This window comes from Homo sapiens, chromosome 4 (genome assembly GCF_000001405.40).
Source record: "Homo sapiens chromosome 4, GRCh38.p14 Primary Assembly".
Lineage (NCBI taxonomy): Eukaryota > Metazoa > Chordata > Mammalia > Primates > Hominidae > Homo > Homo sapiens.
Window position 1 is genome coordinate 46,825,559 of NC_000004.12, and position 22,950 is coordinate 46,848,508.

Genomic DNA, 22,950 nt, shown 5'->3' on the forward strand with positions numbered 1-22,950 from the left:
GAGCTCCCATAGCCAAGACAATCCTAAGCAAAAGGAACAAAGCTGGAGGCATGAGGTTACCTGACTTCAAACTATACTTCAAGGCTACAGTAACCAAAACAGCATGGTAATTGTACAAAAACAGGAACATCGACCAATGGAACAGAATAGAGAGCCCAGAAATAAGGCCACACCCACAACTATCTGATCTTCTACAAACCTAACAAAAACAAGCAATGGGGAAAGACTCCCTATTCAATAAATGGCGCTGGGATAACTGACTAGCCATATGCAGAAGATTGAAGCTGGACCCCTTCCTATAACATGCACAAAAACCAACACAAGATAGATTAAAGGTTTAAATGTAAAACCCAAAACTATAAAATCCCTGGAAATCAACCTAGGTAGTACCATCCTGGACATAAGAATGGGCAAAGATTTCATGACAAAGATGCCAAAAGCTATTGCAACAAAAGCAAAAACTAACAAGTGGGATCTAATTAAACTTAAGAGCTTCTGCACAGCAAAAGAAAATATTGACAGTAAACAGACAAACTACAGAATGAGAGAAAATATATTGCAAACTATGCATCTGACAGTCTAACACGCAGCATCTATAAAAAACTTAAAAATTTACAAGAGAAAAACAACCCCATTAAAAAGTGAGCAAAGAACATGAACAGACACTTTTTTAAAGAAGACATATATGCAGTCAAAAAACATATGAAAAAATCTCAGTGTTATTCATCATTAGAGAAATGCAAATCAAAAGCACAATGAGATACCATCTTACACCAGTTAAAGTGGCTATTAATAAAAGTTCAGAAAATAACACATTTTGGCAAGGTTGTGGAGATAAGGAAATGCTTATACGCTGTTGGTGGGAGTGTAAATTAGTTCAACTGTTATGGAAAGTAGTATGGCAATTCCTCAAACAGCCACAAGCGGAAATACCATTCGACCCAACAATTCCATTATTCCCCAAAATATAAATTATTCTACCATAAAAAAACACATGCACGCGAATGTTCATTGTAGCACTATGCACAACAGCAAAGACATGGAATCAATCTATATGCCCATCAATGACAGATTGGATAAAGAAAATGTGGTACATATACATCATGGAATACTATGTAGCTATAAAAAAGAATGAGATCATGTTTTTTGTGGGAACATGGATCGAGCTACAGGCTCTTAACCTTAGCAATCTAAAGTAGGAACAGAAAACCAAATACTGCATGTTCTCACGTATAAGTGGAAGTTAAATGACAAGAACTTATGAACACAATGAAGGAAACAACAGGCACTGGGATCTACTAGCATGTGGAGGGATGGAGGAGGGAGAGGAGCAGAAAAATGGCAACAATAAAAAAAGAATGAGATGGAAATTCTACAGCCAAAAAGTACAATAACTGAAATGTAATTCACTGAATATGACCAAATGGTTTTAAAATGGAAAAAGAAAATAAATCCATAAAATTCAAAATAGATTAATGGATTGAATAAAATTTGGAGTACAGTGAAGAAAAGATTGAAAAACAATAAAGGTTCAGAGACTTGAGGGATAATATCAAATGATTCAACATTTATGTCACTGGAGTTCCAGGAGAATAGAGACAAAAAGTGAAAGAAAAAAATATTTGCAGAAATAAAAGGCTATAATCTTCCCAAATTTGGTAAAAAGAAAGAAAGGAAAAAGCTATAAATTTACAGGTCCAAGAAATTTACAAACTCCAAATAGGATAAATACAAAGAAAATCACAACCGAGAAACTCATAGTCGACTTATGAAAGCTACAGATAGAGAATCTTGGAAGCACCTAAAAACAAATGAAACTATGTAGATGGTAACAATCATGCAACCAACTGTAGGTTTTTGTATCACAAACAGCGGAGGCCAGAAGACGTCAGAATGGCATGTCCAAAGTAGAGAAGGAAAAGTTTTTCAGCCAAATTCTGTATCTACTGAAAGTACCCTACAAAAATAAAGTAATTATGTCCGTAGAATTGCTTAGCAAAACAAACAAATTTTAAAAGTTGAAATAAAAACCTTTTGTGTCTTTAAAATATGAGCTACTCGTAGCATATCTGCACTAAAAGGAAATGCTAAACGAAGTTGAAAGGACTGAAAAAAAGTGATTCCAAATAACAAGCTGGATATACAGGAAGGAATGAAGAGCACCAGAAATGGCAAACAATATATATAGTGTATGTGTGAATGTGTGTGTGTCTATATATACCTGTTTTCCTTTTCTTTCAAAACATTTTGCTTAGTGAATGAAGCCAAACGCAAAATGTACAAATTACATGGTTCCATTTATATGACATTCTAGAAGAAGAAAAAGTAATATTTAGTGACAGAAAACAGATCACTGGTTGCCTGGGACTGGGATCAAAGGCAGAAATTGACTGCAAAAGGTCACAAGAAAACTTTTGGAGGGGATGGAAATTTTCTATATGTTGTTTGCGGTGGAGGGCACACAGATGTATGCACTTGTCAAAGCTCATCAAACTGTACCCTTAATGTGGCTGCATTTTACTGTATATGAATTATACCTTAATAAATTTGATTTAGGAAAACATAATGCAAAATGTAACAAATTTGACATAATACAAAGAAAACTTCTGCTCAATGTAAAGTTCAAAGAAAGATTAAAGACAGGGAGGAATATTTGCAATGTTTAAAACTAACAAAGTATTAATCTAGATTATACAAGGAACTTCTGAAAAACAAAAAAGAAAAACAGAAAACCCAATAGAAGGAGTTGACAAAAGCTTCACATATGAAAATAAGGCTCATATTCCCTACTAAAGAAGCACAAAGTTCAAATTATGAGTTTTCAAATTAACAAAATTCAGAAAGTTGGATAACACCAAATGTTAGAAAGTATAATAGGGAAATTAAGCTGCTGGGTTTTGCTGACGGACTTAGAAATTGAGTCAGCCATTCTGTAAAGCATTCAGGAAATAGTAAAAATTATATGTGCAAGTAAATTACAAAACCTTCCACTGGTAATACTAGGTGCCAATCATAAGAGATAAATGGAATAAAATGTGATAATATTCACAAGATGGAATTCCAGGCAATAACGAAAAGAAGAAAAGTGCACATAGAGTACAATCAGTAAATCATAAGAAAATTATGAGCGATAAAACTATTAAATAGAATAATTCAACATCATTTATACAAATGAAAACATGAACACATCAATATATGGAGTAATATTATATAGTTTTCAGGGATACACATGAAGTCTTGTCTATGGATATGGGCAGAGAGAAATGTCAGTGAATATGAGAAATCATGTAAAAAAGGTAATTGCAGAAAAATATAAGAGAGCCCTTGTGCAGATTGATAACAGCGAAGTATAATTAACTCTCTGCATATAAAATAAAAAAATGTATTTCTCTACATTCATGAATCTTAATACTTTTGTAATGCTCAGCCTTATATGTGAACTATTATTACTCCTTTCTCAAATGAAGAAAACTATGAAGACAACAGCAGTATTCTAAGCACGTGATTGAGATTACCGTCTTTCTGCATATTAAAATGGATACAGCATTCCTTGGGAAACATCAAAGTCTCATTTCATCACAAATTTTTTACCTCCAAAGAGAATATACTTATTTTTCATGGTGTATGTGATACTGCCCATACTCATCTTGTTTTAAATTGAAAAATATGTAAAGAATCATGAGTCAGTTTAGTTGAATATTATAAAGTAATAGTCTCTCATTTCATAACAATCATTTAATGACCATGGAATATGTTTTATGTTATCTAGTAATAATCTATTTAGAAACACATTGAGGATCTATTTTCTAATTCAGTTTGCACCCACTTTTATCTTTTGGAAAAATTGCTGATAAGAAAATTGTTGATACAACTCTTGAAAATAAGTTTATTTTAACATGCAATTTTTTTTCCAGGTAAAACATTCAATTAGTAATAGTTTTCTTAAAGCATGTCATCATGAATCTCCTCTAGTAGGTGAGATAAGACACACATGTAGCTATAATTAAAGCAATGTGTCATAAATGACACTCCATCTGATGGCACTTCATCATGGGATGAAGAAATTACTTATTATTAAAGAAGGGGATCAGAGAAGCTTTGTGAAAGAAGCAACATTTGAACTGGATCTTAAGAAGGTTTACAATTTCCATGTAAACAGAACAAAGGGAAGTAGGAAAATGAGCAGGGTGTAAAAGATGTGTTAGGTATTTTTGTTTACACAATATATTATACCATATAGGAAGTGACATAAAATAACAGCAAAATTAAACTGAAGGGCAGAATACAGATAAAGATTTTGAACTTTATTACATATAGTTTTGAGTAAAAACTAATGACATATCACACCAAGTTTGGAATATTAATCAGTTGTATGGAGAATGTGAAGAAATAATTAAACGGAGAAATTGGTTGTAAGTTATGGCAACTCTCAAATTAGAGATAACAAGAACCTGAAATAGAATAGATACTATAAAAATGGATAGAGGCCGGGCGCGGTGGCTCACGCATGTAATCCTAGCACTTTGGGAGGCCAAGGCGTGCAGATCATGAAGTCAGGAGTTCGAGACCAGCCTGGCCAACATGGTGAAACCCCGTCTGTACTAAAAATACAAAAATTAGCCGGGGGTGGTGGTGTGTGCCTGTAATCCCAGCTACTGGAGAGGCTGAGGCAGGAGAATTGCTTGAACCCAGTATGTGGAGGTTGCAATGAGCTGAGATCATGCCACTGCACTCCAGCCTGGGCTACAGAGCAAGACTCTGTCTCCAAAAAAAAAAAAAAAAAAAGAAAAAGAAAGAGAAAACGGAGAGAAAAGAAACAATGTATGTAGGAAAACTTTTCTAGGCAATGGAAAGTATTATACTCCATTGAGGAAAATATGAAATAAAAAGTTAAAATGACTATTTTAGTCTGGGTATTTGGCATATAATAATATAATGGTATATTGTGTTCATTAATAGAAGGAAAAGGAGAAAGATTAGGTCTAAAAAAACATATGAAAATGTATTCTAGACATAGTTTGAAGCATCTAAAATACCTTTAACAGGAAGTGTTCACAGAGCAATTGTATTGGTTGAGGCAATGCTAACTGATATAATAGAAAAACCTTGAAATCTAAGTGGCTTAACACAATAGATGCTTATTTCTTGCTCATATAAGCCTAGTAAGAGCATGACAGGAGGAAGGGAGTCTGCTCCACAGTAGTTTAGGAACCTTGGCTGAAAGTCTCTGCAAATGGCTTTCAAAGTTTTACTGGGCATTAATGTACAGTCATCTCACAAGAGGCAAAGTATGGAGAAAGTGAGAGGTGACAGCATGCTGGCAGCCCTCGCAGCCTTTGCTCGCTCTTGGCGCCTCCTAGGCGTCGGCGCCCACTCTGGCCGCACTTGAGGAGCCCTTCAGCCCGACACTGCACTGTGGGAGCCCCTTCCTGGGATGGCTGAGGCCAGAGCCGGCTCCCTCAGCCTGTGGGGAGGTGTGGAGGGAAAGGCATGGGCGGGAACCCGGGCTGCACAAGGCTTGCAGGCCAGCTAGAGTTCCGGGTGGGCATGGGCTTGGTGGGCCCCGCATTGGGAGTGGCCGGCCGGCCTGCCAGCCCCGGGCAGTGAAAGGCTTAGCCCCCAGGCCAGCAGCTGCGGAGGGTGGGCCGGGTCCCCCAGCAGTGCCGGCCCACCAACGCAGCGCTTGATTTCTCACCAGGCCTTAGCTGCCTCCCCACACAGCAGCGCTCAGGACCTGCAGCCTGCCATGCCTGAGTGCCCCCCCAACCTCCCACCCCGCCATGGGCTCCTGTGCGGCCCGAGCCTCCTCAACGAGTGCCACCCCCGGCTCCACGGCACCCTGTCCCATCGACCACCCAGGGGCTGAGGAGTGCGGGCGCATGGCACGGGACTGGCAGGCAGCTCCACCTGTGGCCCCAGTGCGGGATCCACTGGGTGAAGCCAGCTGGGCTCCTGAGTCTAGTGGGGACTTGGAGAACCTTTATGTCTAGCTAAGGGATTGTAAATACATGAATCAGCACTCTGTACCTAGCTCAAGGTTTGTAAACACACCAATCAGCATCCTGTCTATTTCAGGGTTTGTGGATGCACCAGTTGGCACTCTATCTAGCTAATCTGGAGGGGACTTGGAGAATCTTTATGTCTAGCTAAGGGATTGTGATACACCAATCAGCACTCTGCATCTATCTCAAGGTTTGTAAATGCACCAATCAGCACTCTGTGTCTAGCTCAAGGTTTGTAAATGCACCAATCTGCGCTCTGTGTCTAGCTGATCTGGTGAGGACTTGGAGAACCTTTATGTCCAGCTAAGGGATTGTGAATACACCAATGGGCACTCTGTATCTAGCTCAAGGTTTGTAAATACACCAATCAGCACAGCTAATCTAGTGGTGAGGTGGAGAACTTTTGTGTCTAGCTCAGGAATGGTAAATGCACCAATCAGCACCCTGTTAAAACAGACCAATCAGCTCTCTGTAAAATGGACCAATCAGCAGGATGTGGGTGGGGCCAGATAAGAGAATAAAAGCAAGCTGCCCCAGCCAGCAGTGGCAACCTGCTCGGGTCCCCTTCCACACCGTGGAAGGTTTGTTCTTTCGCTCTTTGCTATAAATTTTGCTACTGCTAACTCTTTGGGTCCACACTGCCTTTATGAGCTGCAACACTCACTGCGAAGGTCTGCAGCTTCACTCCTGAGCCAGTGAGACCACGAACCCACCAGAAGGAAGAAACTCCGAACACATCTGAACATCAGAAGGAACAAACTCCAGACACGCCGCCTTTAAGAACTGTAACACCCACCCCGAGGGTACACAGCTTCATTCTTAAAGTCAGTGAGACCAAGAACCCACCAATTCCAGACACAAAAGCACACATAATTTCAAGCAACATCAAGTTAAAAGTGTCACATATTATTTCTGTTCCCAATACACTGGCAAAAACCAGTTCCATAGGCATATTTAAAGACAAGGTAAAAGTTAAAACTGAGGTAACTGGCTAGCTAACTGATATGGTTTGGAGGTCTGACCCCTCCAAATCTCATGGTGAAATGTGATTCCCAATGTTGGAGGTGGTATCTAGAGGGAGGTGATTGGCGCATGGAGGCAGATTCCTAATAAACTGTTTAGTACCATCCTCTTGATGATGAGAGGATTCTTGTTCAGTTAGTTCACTTAAGATATGGTTGTTCAAAAGAATCTGGGACCTCCCCACTCTCTCTCACTCCTGCTCTCACCGTGTGACCCACTAGCTCCCCTTCGCCTTCTGCCATAATTGTAAGCTCCCTGAGGCCCTCACCAGAAGCAGATGCCAAAACTACGCTTCATGTACAGCCTGCTGAACTGTGAGCCTTTTTTTTTTTCTTTTTTGAGATGGAGTCTCGCTCTTGTTGCCCAGGCTGGAGTGCAAAGGCGTGATCTTGGCTTACCACAACCTCCGCCTCCCGGGTTCAAGTGATTCTCCTGCTTCAGCCTCCCGAGTAGCTGGGATTACAAGCATGTACCACGGTGCCCGGCTAATTTTGTATTTTTAGTAGAGACGGGATTTCTCCATGTTGGTCAGGCTGGTCTTCAACTCCCAACCTCAGGTGATCCACCCACCTCGGCCTCCCAGAGTGCTGGGATTACAGGTGTGAGCCACCGCGCCCCACCAAGCCATTTAAACCTCTTTTCATTATAAATTACCCAACCTCAGATATTTATTTGTAGCAATGTGAGAACTAACACAGTATGTCCTGGCATCAACTTTACAATTAAAAAGTGAGCATATATCTTTCACAAATGGCTCACCAAAGAAAATGTAAACAAGAGGATGTAACTAGAATGAGAAAAGAGGTTAGAAATAGAGATATAAATTTGGGAGGTGTATGCTTAATTCCTATGCAGAACTCATAGGAAATATGACATTCCAATGGAGAAAGCATGGAAAAAGTATAGCCCAAATGCAGGTTACTAGCATTCATATACTTTTTGATGTAAGATTCAAAAGGGAAAGTAAAACTCAGAGAAACTCAATGAAAAATCTATAGGAGTGTTTTAAGAGAGCAGAGGCAATAAGAAGTATTGGGGAAAGGAAGATGAATAGAGAGAAACATTGATGGGAATTGATGACTATGAGACCATTATGTCACTTCATAATACTGTGACTTTAACAGTTGTGGGAGCAGAAACCATATGAAAAAGGATGACAGAATAAGTGAATTGTGAGAAACTTCAGCTTTTGTAAATATTAATCTTTACAGATAAGGCAAAAAAAAGAAGTGTGCAAAAAAAATATGGAATGAAGATATGGTGGGTTGACAGAAATGTTGTTGGGTTGGCAAATTGGAATTCTATGAAAAACATTTAAGTTTGAAGGTAAAGATCCAGTTCAAAACAAGAATGTAAAGATGTAGCTATAAACTGTAGTACTGAGAAAACAAGGTCACAGAGAGTGTAAAGAAGAGTTGGGAGAATAATGGGAGTAAATGAGAAGCTAACAAAAGCAATTAAATCAACAACAACAAAATCTGAAAAGATTTATGTAAGTTATTTATGAAGAAACATCACAATGATTGAAAGATAAAAATTGTGACCAGAGATACATATTCTTGGATAGAAACACTAAGCATAAAGATGACAATTATTTTTAAGTCAAACTATAAATATAGTATGATCCCAATTTTAAAATACCAACAAGTTTTGTCTTCTTCTGGAGAAGTACATACATTGATTCTGGAGTTCAGATGGTAATACAAACAGGAATGAAGATCTGTGAAATTGATGAAAAAAGACAAGAAAAGAAACACAAAAACAGTATCTATCTCGAATGTTGAAATACATTTTACAGCTAGAATAACTAAACTAGTATAGTGCTAAGCATGAAGATATAATGTCAATAGCATTAAAAACTCTGCGAATAAACCCTAGCACATTTGGAAATTGTGTATAGGATAAACATGGCATAGCAAATTCACGTAAAAAAATGAATATTTCAATAAAAGACATTAGGGCAACTAAGTTACCATTCAGAAAACAAATAAAAACATTTAAATGCTTTTATCCAACTTTCTTTGGAAGCATTTTACTATAATTATTCCCCGACACTTTCTTCTTCACTTGATTGTTATCTTGCCTTATCAGTCCAATATAATACATTATCAATAAATCAAATATTTAAATATAGAATATGAAGAGTGTGCATAATATTACTAAAAGAAATCATGGAAATATTTTAAAATAATCTCACATAGAAGCTATTGTTTATCATAAACAGAAAGACAAAAACAAAACCACATTAAAAAATAATGAATGACAAAACTCCAGAGGAAAAATATCAAAACACAAACTTGGAAAAATATTGACAACTAATATGCTAGGCAATGTGCAAGTCTCCAAACTTCAAAACAAAAAAATCCCTTGAAAGCAAAAGAAGCAAATTATATAAACTGATAATTCATAAAAATGGAAATATGAGTAATTCTTAAACAAGAAAAACTTTCAATCATAATAAGAGAAATAAAAGTTAAGACCTTTTTTCCCTAGTAGTTTGATAAAGACTCAAAAACCTGGTAATACTTATGATATTGATGGGGATGATGTAAGAAAAGGGGGATTATTACACACTGCTGATGAGAATGTAATGTGTATGACAGCATGACATAAAGGACAATTTGAAAGCATCTATCAAAATTACAAATGCACCTAGTTTTAACTTCAGGAATACTTGCACACAGACATGAAAGGTAGGCACAAGGCTATATGTTGCAACATTGTTTATAATAGCAAAGTTAGCAAATTGAATGTTTCTCTAGTGCGTAAACATCCTAAAATGAAAATGCGTTGCTTTTAAAATCAGAAAAAAAAAATGCAGTAACTGTTACGAGATACGCAAACAAGTCCCCCCTCAAAAACACACACACACATGTTAATAAGGCAGACTGTTCGAGAATCATGGTGGAAGAAGAGTCTGACGGCTACATTTTGGGACAGTAAGCAGGCCTAGTCCTCCTGGTGAAACAGAAGTGAAAATGGTTTTCAATGGAAAAAACTGCGTAAGATATAGCATGTTACAGAACAGCCAACTATCAACCTAGACATTCAATGCATAAAGTAACATAGGTCCATTTATTTCTTAGAGCCACAAGCTTTTTCAATAGCCTTTGAAAATGTGTACTGTCTGAAAAAATATAAATAAGTGATGTGCCATTTAATGATGGGGACATGTTCTGAGAAATGCATCATTAGGCAATTTCATCAACGTACAAAAATCATAAAGTGTATTTACACAGCCTCAATCATACAGCCTACTACACATCTAGGCTATATGATACACGCTACTGCTCGTCTGCTACAAAGCTGCACAGCAAGTTACTTTGCAGAATACTGTGGGCAACTATAACTCGAGGGTAATGATTTATGTACCTAAACATGTCCAAACATAGAAAAGGTACAGTAAAAATATGGTATAAAAGATAAAAATGGTACACCTTTATAGGGCACTTATGAATGGAGCTTGCAAGACTGGAAATTGCTCTGGGTGAGGCAGTGAGTGAGTGCTGAGTGAGTGTGAAGACCTAGAACATTACTGTACACTACTGTAGACTTTATAAACACTGTACACTTAGGCTATGCTAAACTTATTAAAAATTTCTTTCTTCAATAATAAACCTTAGCTTATTGCAACATTTTACTGTGTGTTTACTTTTTTCACTTTATTGACTCCTTTGTGATAATATTTAGCTCAAAACACAAACACTGTACAACTGTCCAAAAATATTTTTATATCCTTATTCTATACGTTTTTTTCTCTATTTAAAAAATTTTTTTTTTATATTTTTTTAAAGTAGTTAAAATCTAAAATGCAAAAACACACATTGGCCTAGACCTAGAAAGAGTTAGGATCATCAATATTACTATCTTCCATCTCCACATCTTGTCCCACTGGAAGATCTTCAGAAGCAGTAACACACATAGAGCTGTCATCTCTTGTGAGAACAATGCTTTCTTCTGGAATATCCTATGGAATGACCTGCCTGAGGCTGTTCTACAGTTAAATTTTAAAAAAAAAAAGAAGGAGCACAAGCTAAAATAATGAATAAAAAACATAGTAGAGTGAACATATAAACCAGTAATATAGTTATTTGGTATTAAGTATAATGAACTGTATATAATGGTATGTGATAGATTTGTTATGACTGACAGTACAGTGGGTTATTTACAGCAGCATCACCAGAAAAAGGTAAGTAATGCATTGCACTATGACATTATGACTGTTACAATGTCACAACAGCTCTAACTTCACCACAGCTGCAACGTCACTAGGCAATAGGTATTTTTCAGATCCACTATAAACTCATGCGATCACTGTCACATATGCAGCCTACCCTTAATTGAAACATCGTTATGCGGCACATGAATATATATTGACACTAAAATTATGAATTACAAGTAAATATGTGTACAGTTTTACATATAGATTAGTCAATAGTTTAATCCACTTCATATTTAAATACAGCAGCATTTAATTGAGATATGTTCATCTTAACATGTTAACTTCAGTGCAGGATTCAGTTTCCAAAAGAAAGTGTGCCTAAAGATCTTTAAGAGACTCTGAGACTTAGCTCAATAAAAATGTAGTAGTTTAAGAAATACAGCTGCTTTAAAAATCACAAAAGGTGGAAACACCCAAGTGTACATCAACAGATGAATGGATAAAATGTAGTATGAACACACAAAGACATACACACACACACACACACACACACACACACACACACACACAGAGGAATATGGTTCAGCCATAAGAAGGTATGAAGTGATATACACACTACAACATGGATAAACCCTGAAAACTGTATGCTAAGTGAAATAAGCCAGATGCAAATGGACAAATAGTGTATGATTCTACTTATATGAAACATCTAGAATAGGCAAATTCATAGTGACTAAAAGCACATTACATTGCCAGAATCTGTTGGGAAGGTAGGAATGGGGAGATACTGCTTAAGGGGTTTACAGTTTCTCTTTAGGGTATTAAAAAATGTTGGAAATGGGTAGTGGTGATGGTTCAACAACACTGTGTATGTAACTAATGCCACTGAATTGTACACTTAAAAATGGCTAGAATTAAAAATTTTACATTATATATTTTTCTACATAAAAAATAAAAATAAGGATAAGATAACACTTTTAGAAAACTAATAGCAATTAAATATCCCTGAGAGGTTTTTTGGTAACATTCTGCTTTGTGTGTTCCTATACTGCCTTATGCTGTTTGTTGCCACATTTTAGAAATATCAAAGCTCAGGATAAGGTATGGGGAATAATAATAATTAACCATAGAACAAATTTACAAATGAAGAAAGATACAAAAGGTCAGAACTTCTCAATCTAAAAACTAAGGTCGAAATAACCGAAATTATTGTAAACATTGAAGACATGGAAGTCAACATAGATATTTATGGAATCCTAGATGCCTAGAACTTAAATCTAGAAAACAGTATACTCTAGAGTTTCATTACTGTGTTTCATAGATCAAAGCAGTCTGCCAACTACAAGCAAAATAGTTTCAAAAAATTTGTGGGTTAATTTGTACATTCTTTATCAGCATCAAATTATCAAGGAAAGTTAAAAGGTATATAGGTTACATCTCTATTCTATGGAATTTGACATCCTGTGAAATAATTATGCTGCCTCATAGGTAGCACTTTAAAAGAAAAAAAAATCATGCATGTACTAGCATTATGTCTTGCACTGGGAATAATTTAAATCATCTGTAATATTATAAGTGATCTAATATATATTTCTATACAACATGCAAACATGTATAATATATATATTTCAGAAAATCACTCTCAGTAAAATTAGATGACATAATTGGCATTCTGTATTAGATGAAGTGTGCAGGCCGACTATAGTCACAGAAGCCAGTTTACTTATTTTTAAGGAAGGTTGGACTTGTGCCAAAGAAAAGTATCTATAATTCACTATCAGAAGTGGTGGTCATGCATCAAAGCATAACTTGGTCCATTAACCCTGGGTAGAGTAACAGTATGGAGTATTTTGTGATAGCATAAACATACCTTGATGCCTTATTGGTATTCACAGTTTCTCTCAAGTGGGTGGTGTTAAGGCACACTGAAGATGGTCAGTCCTTACTATTCAAAACCTAGATCATTGGCAGCTTTCATTTCACTTGTCTTCTGGGAAAACTCTGTGTGTCACAGTTGGAAGAAGTGGTAATGTGCTTAAATTTCCTTCTGTAGCTTATCCCAAGACCTGATAATTCCGAATGGCATTTGGCCCAACCATAGAAATTTTATTCCAGATTAATTTTACCTTTCCTGGAACTTTTTTTTTTTTAATTTCAAAATCTGCACCAAATACATCTCAAGATCATGCCATGAAATCAAAGTCCCCAGGCCCTGTTTTTGAATCAGGTTCTTCATGCATTTAGCGCCTTTTCAAAACATCAACTCATTATAATTTTTATGTTTTATTTTAGGAATATTTTCTCATTTTAACTCCTTTGAGCCTCTGTGATTTTATAAATAGTATCCTTATTATGGTCTGCTTCTGGCTTTTCTCACAGAGACTTTGCTGAGACTCCCAGAGTAGAGCAGCCTATTTTTGTGCTCTCTTGAGGAGACTTGTTCCCTAGCCCTCCCTCATTGTGAATTTGTTCTGGGCTGTGGGCTGCCTGATGTTTTGATGTCTCTGTCCATTAACTAATTCTTGCCTTTCAACCACAGAGCTTCAGTTTCCTGTTTACTGCCCTCATTGTTACAGCTCTCTGCTTAGTGCTTCAGTCCTCTTGTCAATAGCATCCTTGGTAACTTCCTGTGTCATCCCCAGCCCCTCCTTCTCCACAGATTGCTTTTCACCAATTTGGCTTTCCAAAGACAGCCTGTCAGCAGCTCAAAGTCCCCTAGATTGAGCTCATTTTCATTATTATTAAGAGGCAGTAAGGCCGACACAAGTAGGTGACCACCTACACTGTGTTATTGAAAAGGCACAAGGAATTAGTCCTGTCCAGGCTGCCAGAAATTCCACACGAGAGATTCATTTCCTGATTATCGAAATTTTTCATATTTTAGGGCATCCTGATCAAAATGCAAATGATATCTTCTGTCAATTCTCAGGCTTTTCTACGTAACTACTGTTGTGCCTATCATATTATATATTCTATAGTACACTGTATTGCTTATTGCAATTAATTTTATGTTTCTGTGCCTTCATAAGACTGAAAGCCATTTGCATAATAATGGTGTGTCAATACTTATATCTTAGTGTCTAAGGTAGTACATGGTAATGGTGGGTCTTAATATATGGTTGTTGAATTAAAAAATACAAAATATAGGTGGGGAGGTGAGAAACTTATACCATTAACTTTTAATGCATTTATTTTAACTGTAATACTAATGAGTATCCATTAGGGAACTGAGACAATTGATGCAACAGTAAACCCAGATAACAAAGGCTTCAACACAACCTGAGGACGTTCTCTTAGTAGTGAAAAATCCAAAGGAAGGCAATTGCTGGTATTGATTTAGAAGTTTAAGGATGTCAGGGCTAAAGTCTCAGTAATTTCTGGCCTTTCCCTCAAGGTTGCAAGGTGACTCTCTAGTTCCAGTCATCATGTCTACCTTCCAGGAATGAGAAAGGAGGAAGGGGCCTGAAGGAAGATGAGGCAAAAATCTGTATCAATAAGGCAGGACTTTCCCAGAAATTCCATCGGATTTTTGTTTATATGTCACTGGATAGAATTATGGCAGATTATCTTTCATACCAACAAGGAGAATTAGAAAACAGGGGACTTCTGTATTTGTTTTTGTCTGCAACAATAATAGGATTCAGCAGGTAGGAAAGAGAGGATATTATATTAAATAAGCCACAAGAACTCTCTGTCATGAGGGATAGTTGGGTGCACTGAGGAGTACATGAGTGCTGAGAGAGAGTCAATGTAAATAGAAGAAAGAGCATACATGAAGTCAACTAACAGCTGCTTCCCCATCCTGCCCACTAATGGCTGATAGTAGGCATTTGATCTATCAGCTTTAAAACCTGACTGAAGGCATGGGCTTCATGGGACTTCTAATACAACGTCTTTATATTTTTCATTCAGCCTCTTCATGAGCTTCATAAATAATGCTTTTCCTGAACACTTTCAATGTACCTCGTACTGTGATACAATAATACCTGCTTCAAGTTGTCCACTGTAAATAGAACTTTGCAGTAACAGAAGTGGACATAAGGCCTTTAGTGGCCCACTGAAGAGATACCTAATTCAGGCTGGGTGTATGCTTGTGCAGTGGGAAGTTAGTCTGGGAAGGATTACAGTAAAAAATAAAAGTAGAGCTGGGTTTTGAAACAAAAATAAAAGGACTCATTAAATGAAGAAGTACAGAAGGCTGTCACTGACATACGGAGTTGGTGCATAAAGACAAAGGGAGGCAAAGAAAGCAAAAAGCATTCTAGGATCTGTAATTTTGTCAGCAGAGCAAAGCACAACATTCAAGGAGTGAGGACAATGGCAGGCAGTGAGAAAACTAGAAGAGAGGTAAGCAAGAACCAGAAGATGGTTTTGAGCAATGAGACACTGAATTATTTTAACCTGATATTAGTTCTATGCCTCAGAAAAATTAGCCTGCTCTTAATTGATTAGAGAGGAGTAAAAATGGAGAGGTGGAATCCAGTTAGGAAACTATTCCAATTGTTCAAAGTATCAGGGCCTAAACTAAAACAATATCAGAGGTTCCACAGACAGTAAACAAGTCAAAGAGCCCACTTACCAAATGTGCTCTGTGTGTGTGTGTGTGTGTGTGTGTGTGTGTGTGTGTGTTTAAGATGGGCTGGCAGGAGATGCCACTGTAGGGCAGAAATGAGGGTAAAATACTAAGAAAACTCCCATTTCTTCACTCATTCATTGGTTCTGTTAAAGGTTAAACTGATTTTCATAAGGTTAATTCGTGTTTGGGATAATGTGCTATCTTAGTAAGACATAATAATATGAATACATACTCATAATAATGCCTATACATCTGACCCAAGCAGGTCATGACACAACCTAAACAAGAAAACAGTCACTCAGCCATTGAGGAGCCTAACAATGTGCTCTGAATTGTGACTGAACAGCCTAATTCTTAGAGCAAATCTCAAGGACCAAGGAAATAATATGCAGCACTAGATTTTATTAAGCAAACAACAGGCCTGTTCACGCTGCATTTCTGTGATGAGCTACTTAGTAGCCTTCAAAACTACTTACTAATGAAATGAGAAACTTATTACATTGGCCTCTGTAGCAATTACAGGAAATCTGGTATATAAAAATCAAAAAATAATTCTTAACCCATAAAGAAAATGATACAAGCTTCACAAAGCCAATGCAAGTAATTAGACACTTAAATTGAATGGCAATGCACATCAAACTTATACTATGCTCCCAGGTCCAGGAAACAAAAAACACAAAATAAATGGTGGATTAGAAGGATGCAACAGTTTCTAAAATTAACATTCCTTTACCCCGATTTTATATTATTCATAAAGAAGCCTTCAAGTTCACTAACCTAATACCCCTATTTGTTGTCACTGCTATTATCAGCTCAATCATGGTAATAACAAGCAATGTCTTAATGCACCACCTGGTTTGACAAAACTTCATAGAAGAATAAATGCCCAAAGCAATTCTGGCTTTCAGACAAGAGCATCCATACAAAATGATTCCTCTATGCTTTCCCTGAAGGTTGCTTTCCTCTATGTGCAGTGGGGGATTATTTGACAGTAATGACAAATGAATTAACAAATCAGTAGACATGAATAAGCATGATTAAATTAAATGCATAGCACAGTGGTTGTGAGCTCACTTTTTTTATTTTATTATTATTATACTTTAAGTTTTAGGGTACATGTGCACAACTTGCAGGTTTGTTACATATGTATACATGTGCCATGCTGATGTGCTGCACCCATTAACTCATCATTTAACATTAGGTATATCTCCTAATGCTATCCCTCCCCACTCCCCCCACCCCACAACAGTCCCCGGTGTGTGATGTTCCCCTTCCTGTGTCCATGTGTTCTCATTATTCAATTCCCACCTATGAGTGAGAACATGCGGTGTTTGGTTTTTTGTCCTTGCGATAGTTTGCTGAGAATGATGGTTTCCAGTTTCATCCATGTCCCTACAAAGGACACGAACTCATCATTTTTTATGGCTGCATAGTATTCCATGGTGTATATGTGCCACATTTTCTTAATCCAGTCTATCATTGTTGGACATTTAGGTTGGTTCGAAGTCTTTGCTATTGTGAATAGTGCTGCTATAAACATACGTGTGCATGTGTCTTTACAGCAGCATGATTTATAATCCTTTGGGTATATACCCAGTAATGGGATGGCTGGGTCAAATGGTATTTCCAGTTCTAGATCCCTGAGGAATCGCCACACTGATTTCCACAATGGTTGAACTAGCTTACAGTCCCACCAACAGTGTAAAAGTGTTCCTATTTCTCCACATCCTCTCCAGCACCTGTTGTTTCCTGACTTTTTAATGATCACCATTCTAACTGGTGTGAGATAGTATCTCATTATGGTTTTGATTTGCATTTCTCTGATGGCCACTGATGATGAGCTCACTTTAAGTCAGAAAGACCTGAATTAGAATCTTGGCTTGTCCATTTATGAGGCTTCTTAGCATCACTAAGCCTCATCAATAATAGAGAAATAATAATACCACATTCACACACTTGTGAAAAATAAGGGGTGTCATAAGGTACCCATATCTGGCATATAATAAGTTTTAAGCACATATTAATGTAAAGAATGTATTAAGGACATCCTCTGAAGTAGTGATTTGCATTCCTCTTTTACAGAAAAGACTGAGACTCCGAGAGAGTCATCAACTTGTCCACAGTCATGATTTTTACAAGTAAATATGAAAGCTGGGATTCAAACACAGGTCTACTAAGGCAGATTCATTGCTCTGATTTTTTTAATCTATGTTTTTAAAAACATTCTTTCAACAAGCCAGCCAGGAATTAATGTAAATATTGTACTGAGCTTATGGTTTCAGAATCAAAGGAGAGAGGAACATAGAGAAAAAAATAAAAGCAAAAGCAGTCTACTGCAAACAGTTCACAATTGTAGTTCTGCAAATTATTAAATTTCAAACAATTTATATGAGAAATGGTTAAATGAAGATAATATAGTCTGAAGAAGAGACAATTAGGGAAAATAATTGCAATTATCAAATATACAGAAATGTGATTTAGAATATTATGTGTACTTTCACTTTGCAAGAGTGGTTTATATTCCTAAAGGATTAAAAATAAAATACAAGAAAAAAAGTTACAAAACAGGTACTTTGCTGCCAATTTTGGCTGCAATTCTATGGGGTTATTCCCTGGTGGCAGGTAATAAATAAGAGTCCTATTTATGACACATGGGTGAATTATTTTGCTTATATTTGCAAGTTATATCACCAGAGAGGAGTTTCTGGCTTGTAAGGAAATATCAACATTTGGGTTATTTAGTTTCTACACAATAGATATTTTAAAAGCAAAATATATTGTCTGAATTCTCATGTTAAATTATTATAATGTCCATGAACTTACCAAAAAGAAATTGTTCACAGCAATTTGCCACTTAACAAAGTTATTACCACCAAATAACTTGATTATCCTGTAAAATTTTATCGCAATATATAATTTCATACTTAATAAATGTCATATTATTGGCCATTAGCTTGACTGAGGAAGTTTAGGAATTAAATATTCCCAAATTCGGCTTTCAAGCTGACCACTGACTCCAGACACGGTCATGGATAAGGACAAGAAAAATATTAAATACAAATGTCTAGATGGTTACACACCATACTGACCAAGTCAACCCGGCAAAAAAGGCCCATCACCATCTAATAGCAAAATGAAATTTTTAAAACGTCTAAAAGTCACGGAAGCATATAAATATACAACCACACCAGGGGGCGCTCTTAACACTGAAATGATGGATGGCATATTTTAAGACACGTGGTGGTCTCAGCTGTCCAAATGAAAGATTTTCTAAGCATGTAGTACTTGGCACAAGTGCTTATCTTTTGAAAATGTTTGCTGGCAATACACACATTTTCTTTTGTATCCAACTGTTCGTGTAGTTAAGACTATCAAGTTAGTCTATCAAGTAAAACATTTACTGCTGATAAAAAATATTTTATTTTTGAAACATTTGTCTACTTAAACTGACATCTGTCTCTTTGTGTAGTTGGGCTGATTCTCAGTAATAAACATCGTGCTTAAAAGTACATACAATTTTTTAAAAATGAATTCAGTGTGAATTTTATTTTTTACAAAATTTCCTACCAGAACTTTAACTTTTACTTTGTGAAAGTGTAATGTAGGTAGTGTGGGTCTTTTCCATATTTTCTCGTTACCTGTTAGAAATCTGAAGCTCAAATGCTCTCCTCAGAAAGTTTCAGATTCTGCTTCCTAAAAAAATGCAATTAGAAAATTAGTGTCAGATTTCAAAGACAATGAAAAAGCCAGAGGTAAGTACAGGCTATGTTACTCAGAGAAAATCACCATATACTACTTCATTAACAGTAAATATTGTCATACAAATGATATCTGATTAAAATAATTTTTAAGAAACAAAGTTGAAAAGGAAGCATCGTAAAGCACATGACAAGGGCCTAGCTACCTGTTTTCCAATAGTGGTAGAGAATGAGTCTTTAAACTTTTCTCAACCCATGTGGTTGAGATAACTCTCTTTTTTATACCAGCTACCTTCATGAGTCACCACTCACCTGTACCCAACCTCAAATGGAAGGTTCTGGCCAAGGTTTGCCTAATATGCTTGGAGACTTCTCAGCAACTTCCTTCATGCAAGTTCAAGGAAACAGAAATGGACTTCTCTAATGTTTGAGCCCTAAATCAAATTAACCAGCAGACTAATGCCTCAAATGTGGTTGAAAGGAATATATTTTTCATTCTATAACAATAGTGAGGATTTAAAGTTAAAAAATCTAGAGAAAATGATACATTTATTTACTACTTTAGAGTATATGTGCATAACAGAAAGTCCCACCCAAAAAGCAGATATTAATAGTTCTCAAGGATGTAGGGACACAGAAAAAAAGAGCATAGGATAAAAGAAAAACAGTCCACAGAAGAAAAAACCCTGGAGGGGTATGCTGGGAGAGGAGTCAGGTGACTACCACTGCCTGTTTTACCTCCTTCTTAATGCCTGGAGTGAAACAAGAACTGAGATATTCACCAAGGTACATGTACATGTTTGGTGAGAGGCAACATTTGATGTAAAATAATCTGGCATATGGTTAAACTGCATGAGTATCCATCAACAGCAAAGTCAGAGGCAGTGGTGTTGAGGTTCTTTGTGGTCAATCTGACTAGAAGTAGGTTCTGAGCCAGTTGCTAGGAAATGGAGATAGACTTTACCCCCATTAGGGCTGGAATGGTAACCAGAGGGCTACCAAGTAACCTAAATTTTAAATCAGACCCTAGTGCCAACTGAAGATGCTAAACAAGAAATGGCAAGTTTCAAACGTTTTGAAGGTAAAATAGTTTTGTAAGTGCTTATGAATCCAGGATTAATTGAAGATGCTGCAGATACCAAGGTGAGAACAAGACTAACTGCGTTATTTGTTCATTCATTCAACAAATACTTAATGAGCATCTATTTATATACCAAGAACATTTAACGGCTTCAGATAAAGCAATGAACAGAAGAGACAGCGATCTGTGTCCTCATGAAACTCACATTCTAGTAGGAAACAGGGACCATAAACAATAAATATAATGAATAACCTATATAGAATGTTGTAAGATTATAAGTACAGGAAAAAAAGGAGAAGGGAGAGCAGTATAAAGGACACTTGGAACACAGGAAGGAAAAAAAATAGATTGCAACAGCAAAAAGGTGAATAGGGTAGGACTCATCTGTAATGTTTCACATATCAAAGGCCATGAGGGAGGTGAGGGAGTCAGACATGCAGTCTTCTGGGGGAAGAGTGTTCCAGTAAAAGGGAACAGTGAGTTGAACGGCTCTAAAGTGAGAGGGTACCTGAGCTGCTCAGAAAACAGCAAGTTAGCCACTATTCTGGAATGGAATGAAAAAGGGAACAGTAGTAGAAGAGGCTAGAGAAGTAACAAAAAAGCCAGATGGTGTAGCTTTTACTGGGAATAAAACAGGAAGCATTTTTACAAAGTGGAGAGAAATGGTCAGAGACTGAATATATTTTGAAAATAGACGGGACAGGATTTTCTGATAAGCTAGATGTGGGTATGAAGAATGTAGAGTCAAGGATGATACAAAGGTTTTTATCTGAGTAACTGAGCTGGCATTTAGTGAGGCTAGAAGAGTGTGGGAAAAAACAGGTGATTGGTGGGAAATAATTATTCTGGGTTTAGATATATGAAATTTGAGATGTCCACTAGATCTATCCAAGAGGAACTATATATAAACTATGCAGTTGGCTATACTGGTGTGAAGTTTGAGGACGATCAAATTTAACACCATAGATATAGCCGTTGAGATGTAAGAAGAAATGAGTGCAGATAGAGGGGAGAGGACAGAGAACTAGCCCTCAAGTGGACAGACTCAGGTGCTCCATTATCCTCACCTTCTCGTGTTCACATCCCTGTATGATTCCCATCTCCCAGAATGTAGGCAGGATCTGTAACTTGTTTCTAACCAATAGAATATGTGACGGTGAGATGTATGTGAAGCAAGCATCATGTGGGGGAAACAATCTGGCAAGGAACTGAGGGAAGCCTCTAGAAACTTAGGGCAGCCTCCAGCTGCCAGCTTGCAAGGCCTTCAGCCTCCAGCCAACAAAACATAAGGCCCTCCCTCCTATAGCTCGAAGAAAATAAGCTCTGCAGAAAACTTGAGTAAATTTAGAAAGAAATCCTTCTGAAGTCAAGCATTCGGATGATATCCCAGGCCCAAATGATACTCTGACTGCAGCCTTGCAGAAGACCCAGGTAAGCTGTGAGCAGACTTCTGACACACAGAAACTATGAGATTAAAAAAAAGTCTGTTATTTTAAAGCACTACAATTTGTAGTAATTTGTTATGCACCAATGGAAAAGTAATGTAATTCCTGGGTTACTCCAGCATTTGCAGGCAAGGGAGCTAAGAAAGCGCCAATAAAAAGACCAAGGAAGAGAAAGGCCAGTGAGGTAAGAGGAAAACCAAGAGAAAAGCATTTCAGCAAGCAGTTTCTTGCCAGCTTTCTCAGAGAGGAATAGACAAAAATGCAAGGGAAAATTGAATCTTCTAGAAGCTGACAGGTAATCAGCATTGAAAATGACAGGAGAAGCCGGGTTCAGCCACTTCCACTCCAGCCTCAAGGTCCTCTATTTTACCCCCTCTTAGCAGAAGGTGGTAAGAGGCAGCGATGTTGCATGGAAATTGGTAGAAGCCAGAAAGTGTTTCTGTTCTTTTTGTTCTAGGTGCTCATTCACTAACCACACTAGATTTTACATATAAAGATTTACAGCTGATTTATCACAGATGAATTTTTTGGGGAGTGGGAGTCCTTGTAACCTAGCCAAGCTGTTCACTGCTAAGTAAATGACATTCAGCCTTACTAGGCTCCTAAGACCCAATTAGTGTCAGAGCTGTGCTAGTTCACTGTTTATGAGGCTTTGAAGGTTGGTATTTCAAAACTCACTAACTAATGCTAATTAAAGTCGGCTCATTTTAATTACTAAATCACTAACATACCTATTTTTAAACTTTTCATTGTTATAAGACATGCTTGGATTGGCTTTTAATTTATTTTTCAAAAAAATCAATACAATCAAATCTAATGAGCATTTATTATGCGAAAGGCCCTGAATTAACTAGGTATAGCTCAGTGAAAAAAGCTGGCCCTGTTGCTTTTTGTATACCTATAATTTGGATGCAAACTTATGCTATTTTTACTGTTGTACAAAAACTGTTTTATGCCCTAATG

General features: G+C 37.0%; 1 protein-coding gene across 10 annotated transcripts in view; it reads right to left on the bottom strand.

Annotated features, from left to right (window-relative positions):
* Nucleotides 1-22,950, bottom strand: part of COX7B2 (cytochrome c oxidase subunit 7B2) — a 174,419-nt gene that overhangs the window by 90,732 nt on the left and 60,737 nt on the right. For all 10 annotated transcript variants that reach the window (NM_130902.3, XM_047449721.1, XM_011513633.3 and 7 more), the window contains one exon: nucleotides 19,402-19,456. The gene's annotated coding sequence lies outside the window, so the exon portion shown is untranslated. The remainder of the gene's footprint in view (nucleotides 1-19,401; nucleotides 19,457-22,950) is intronic.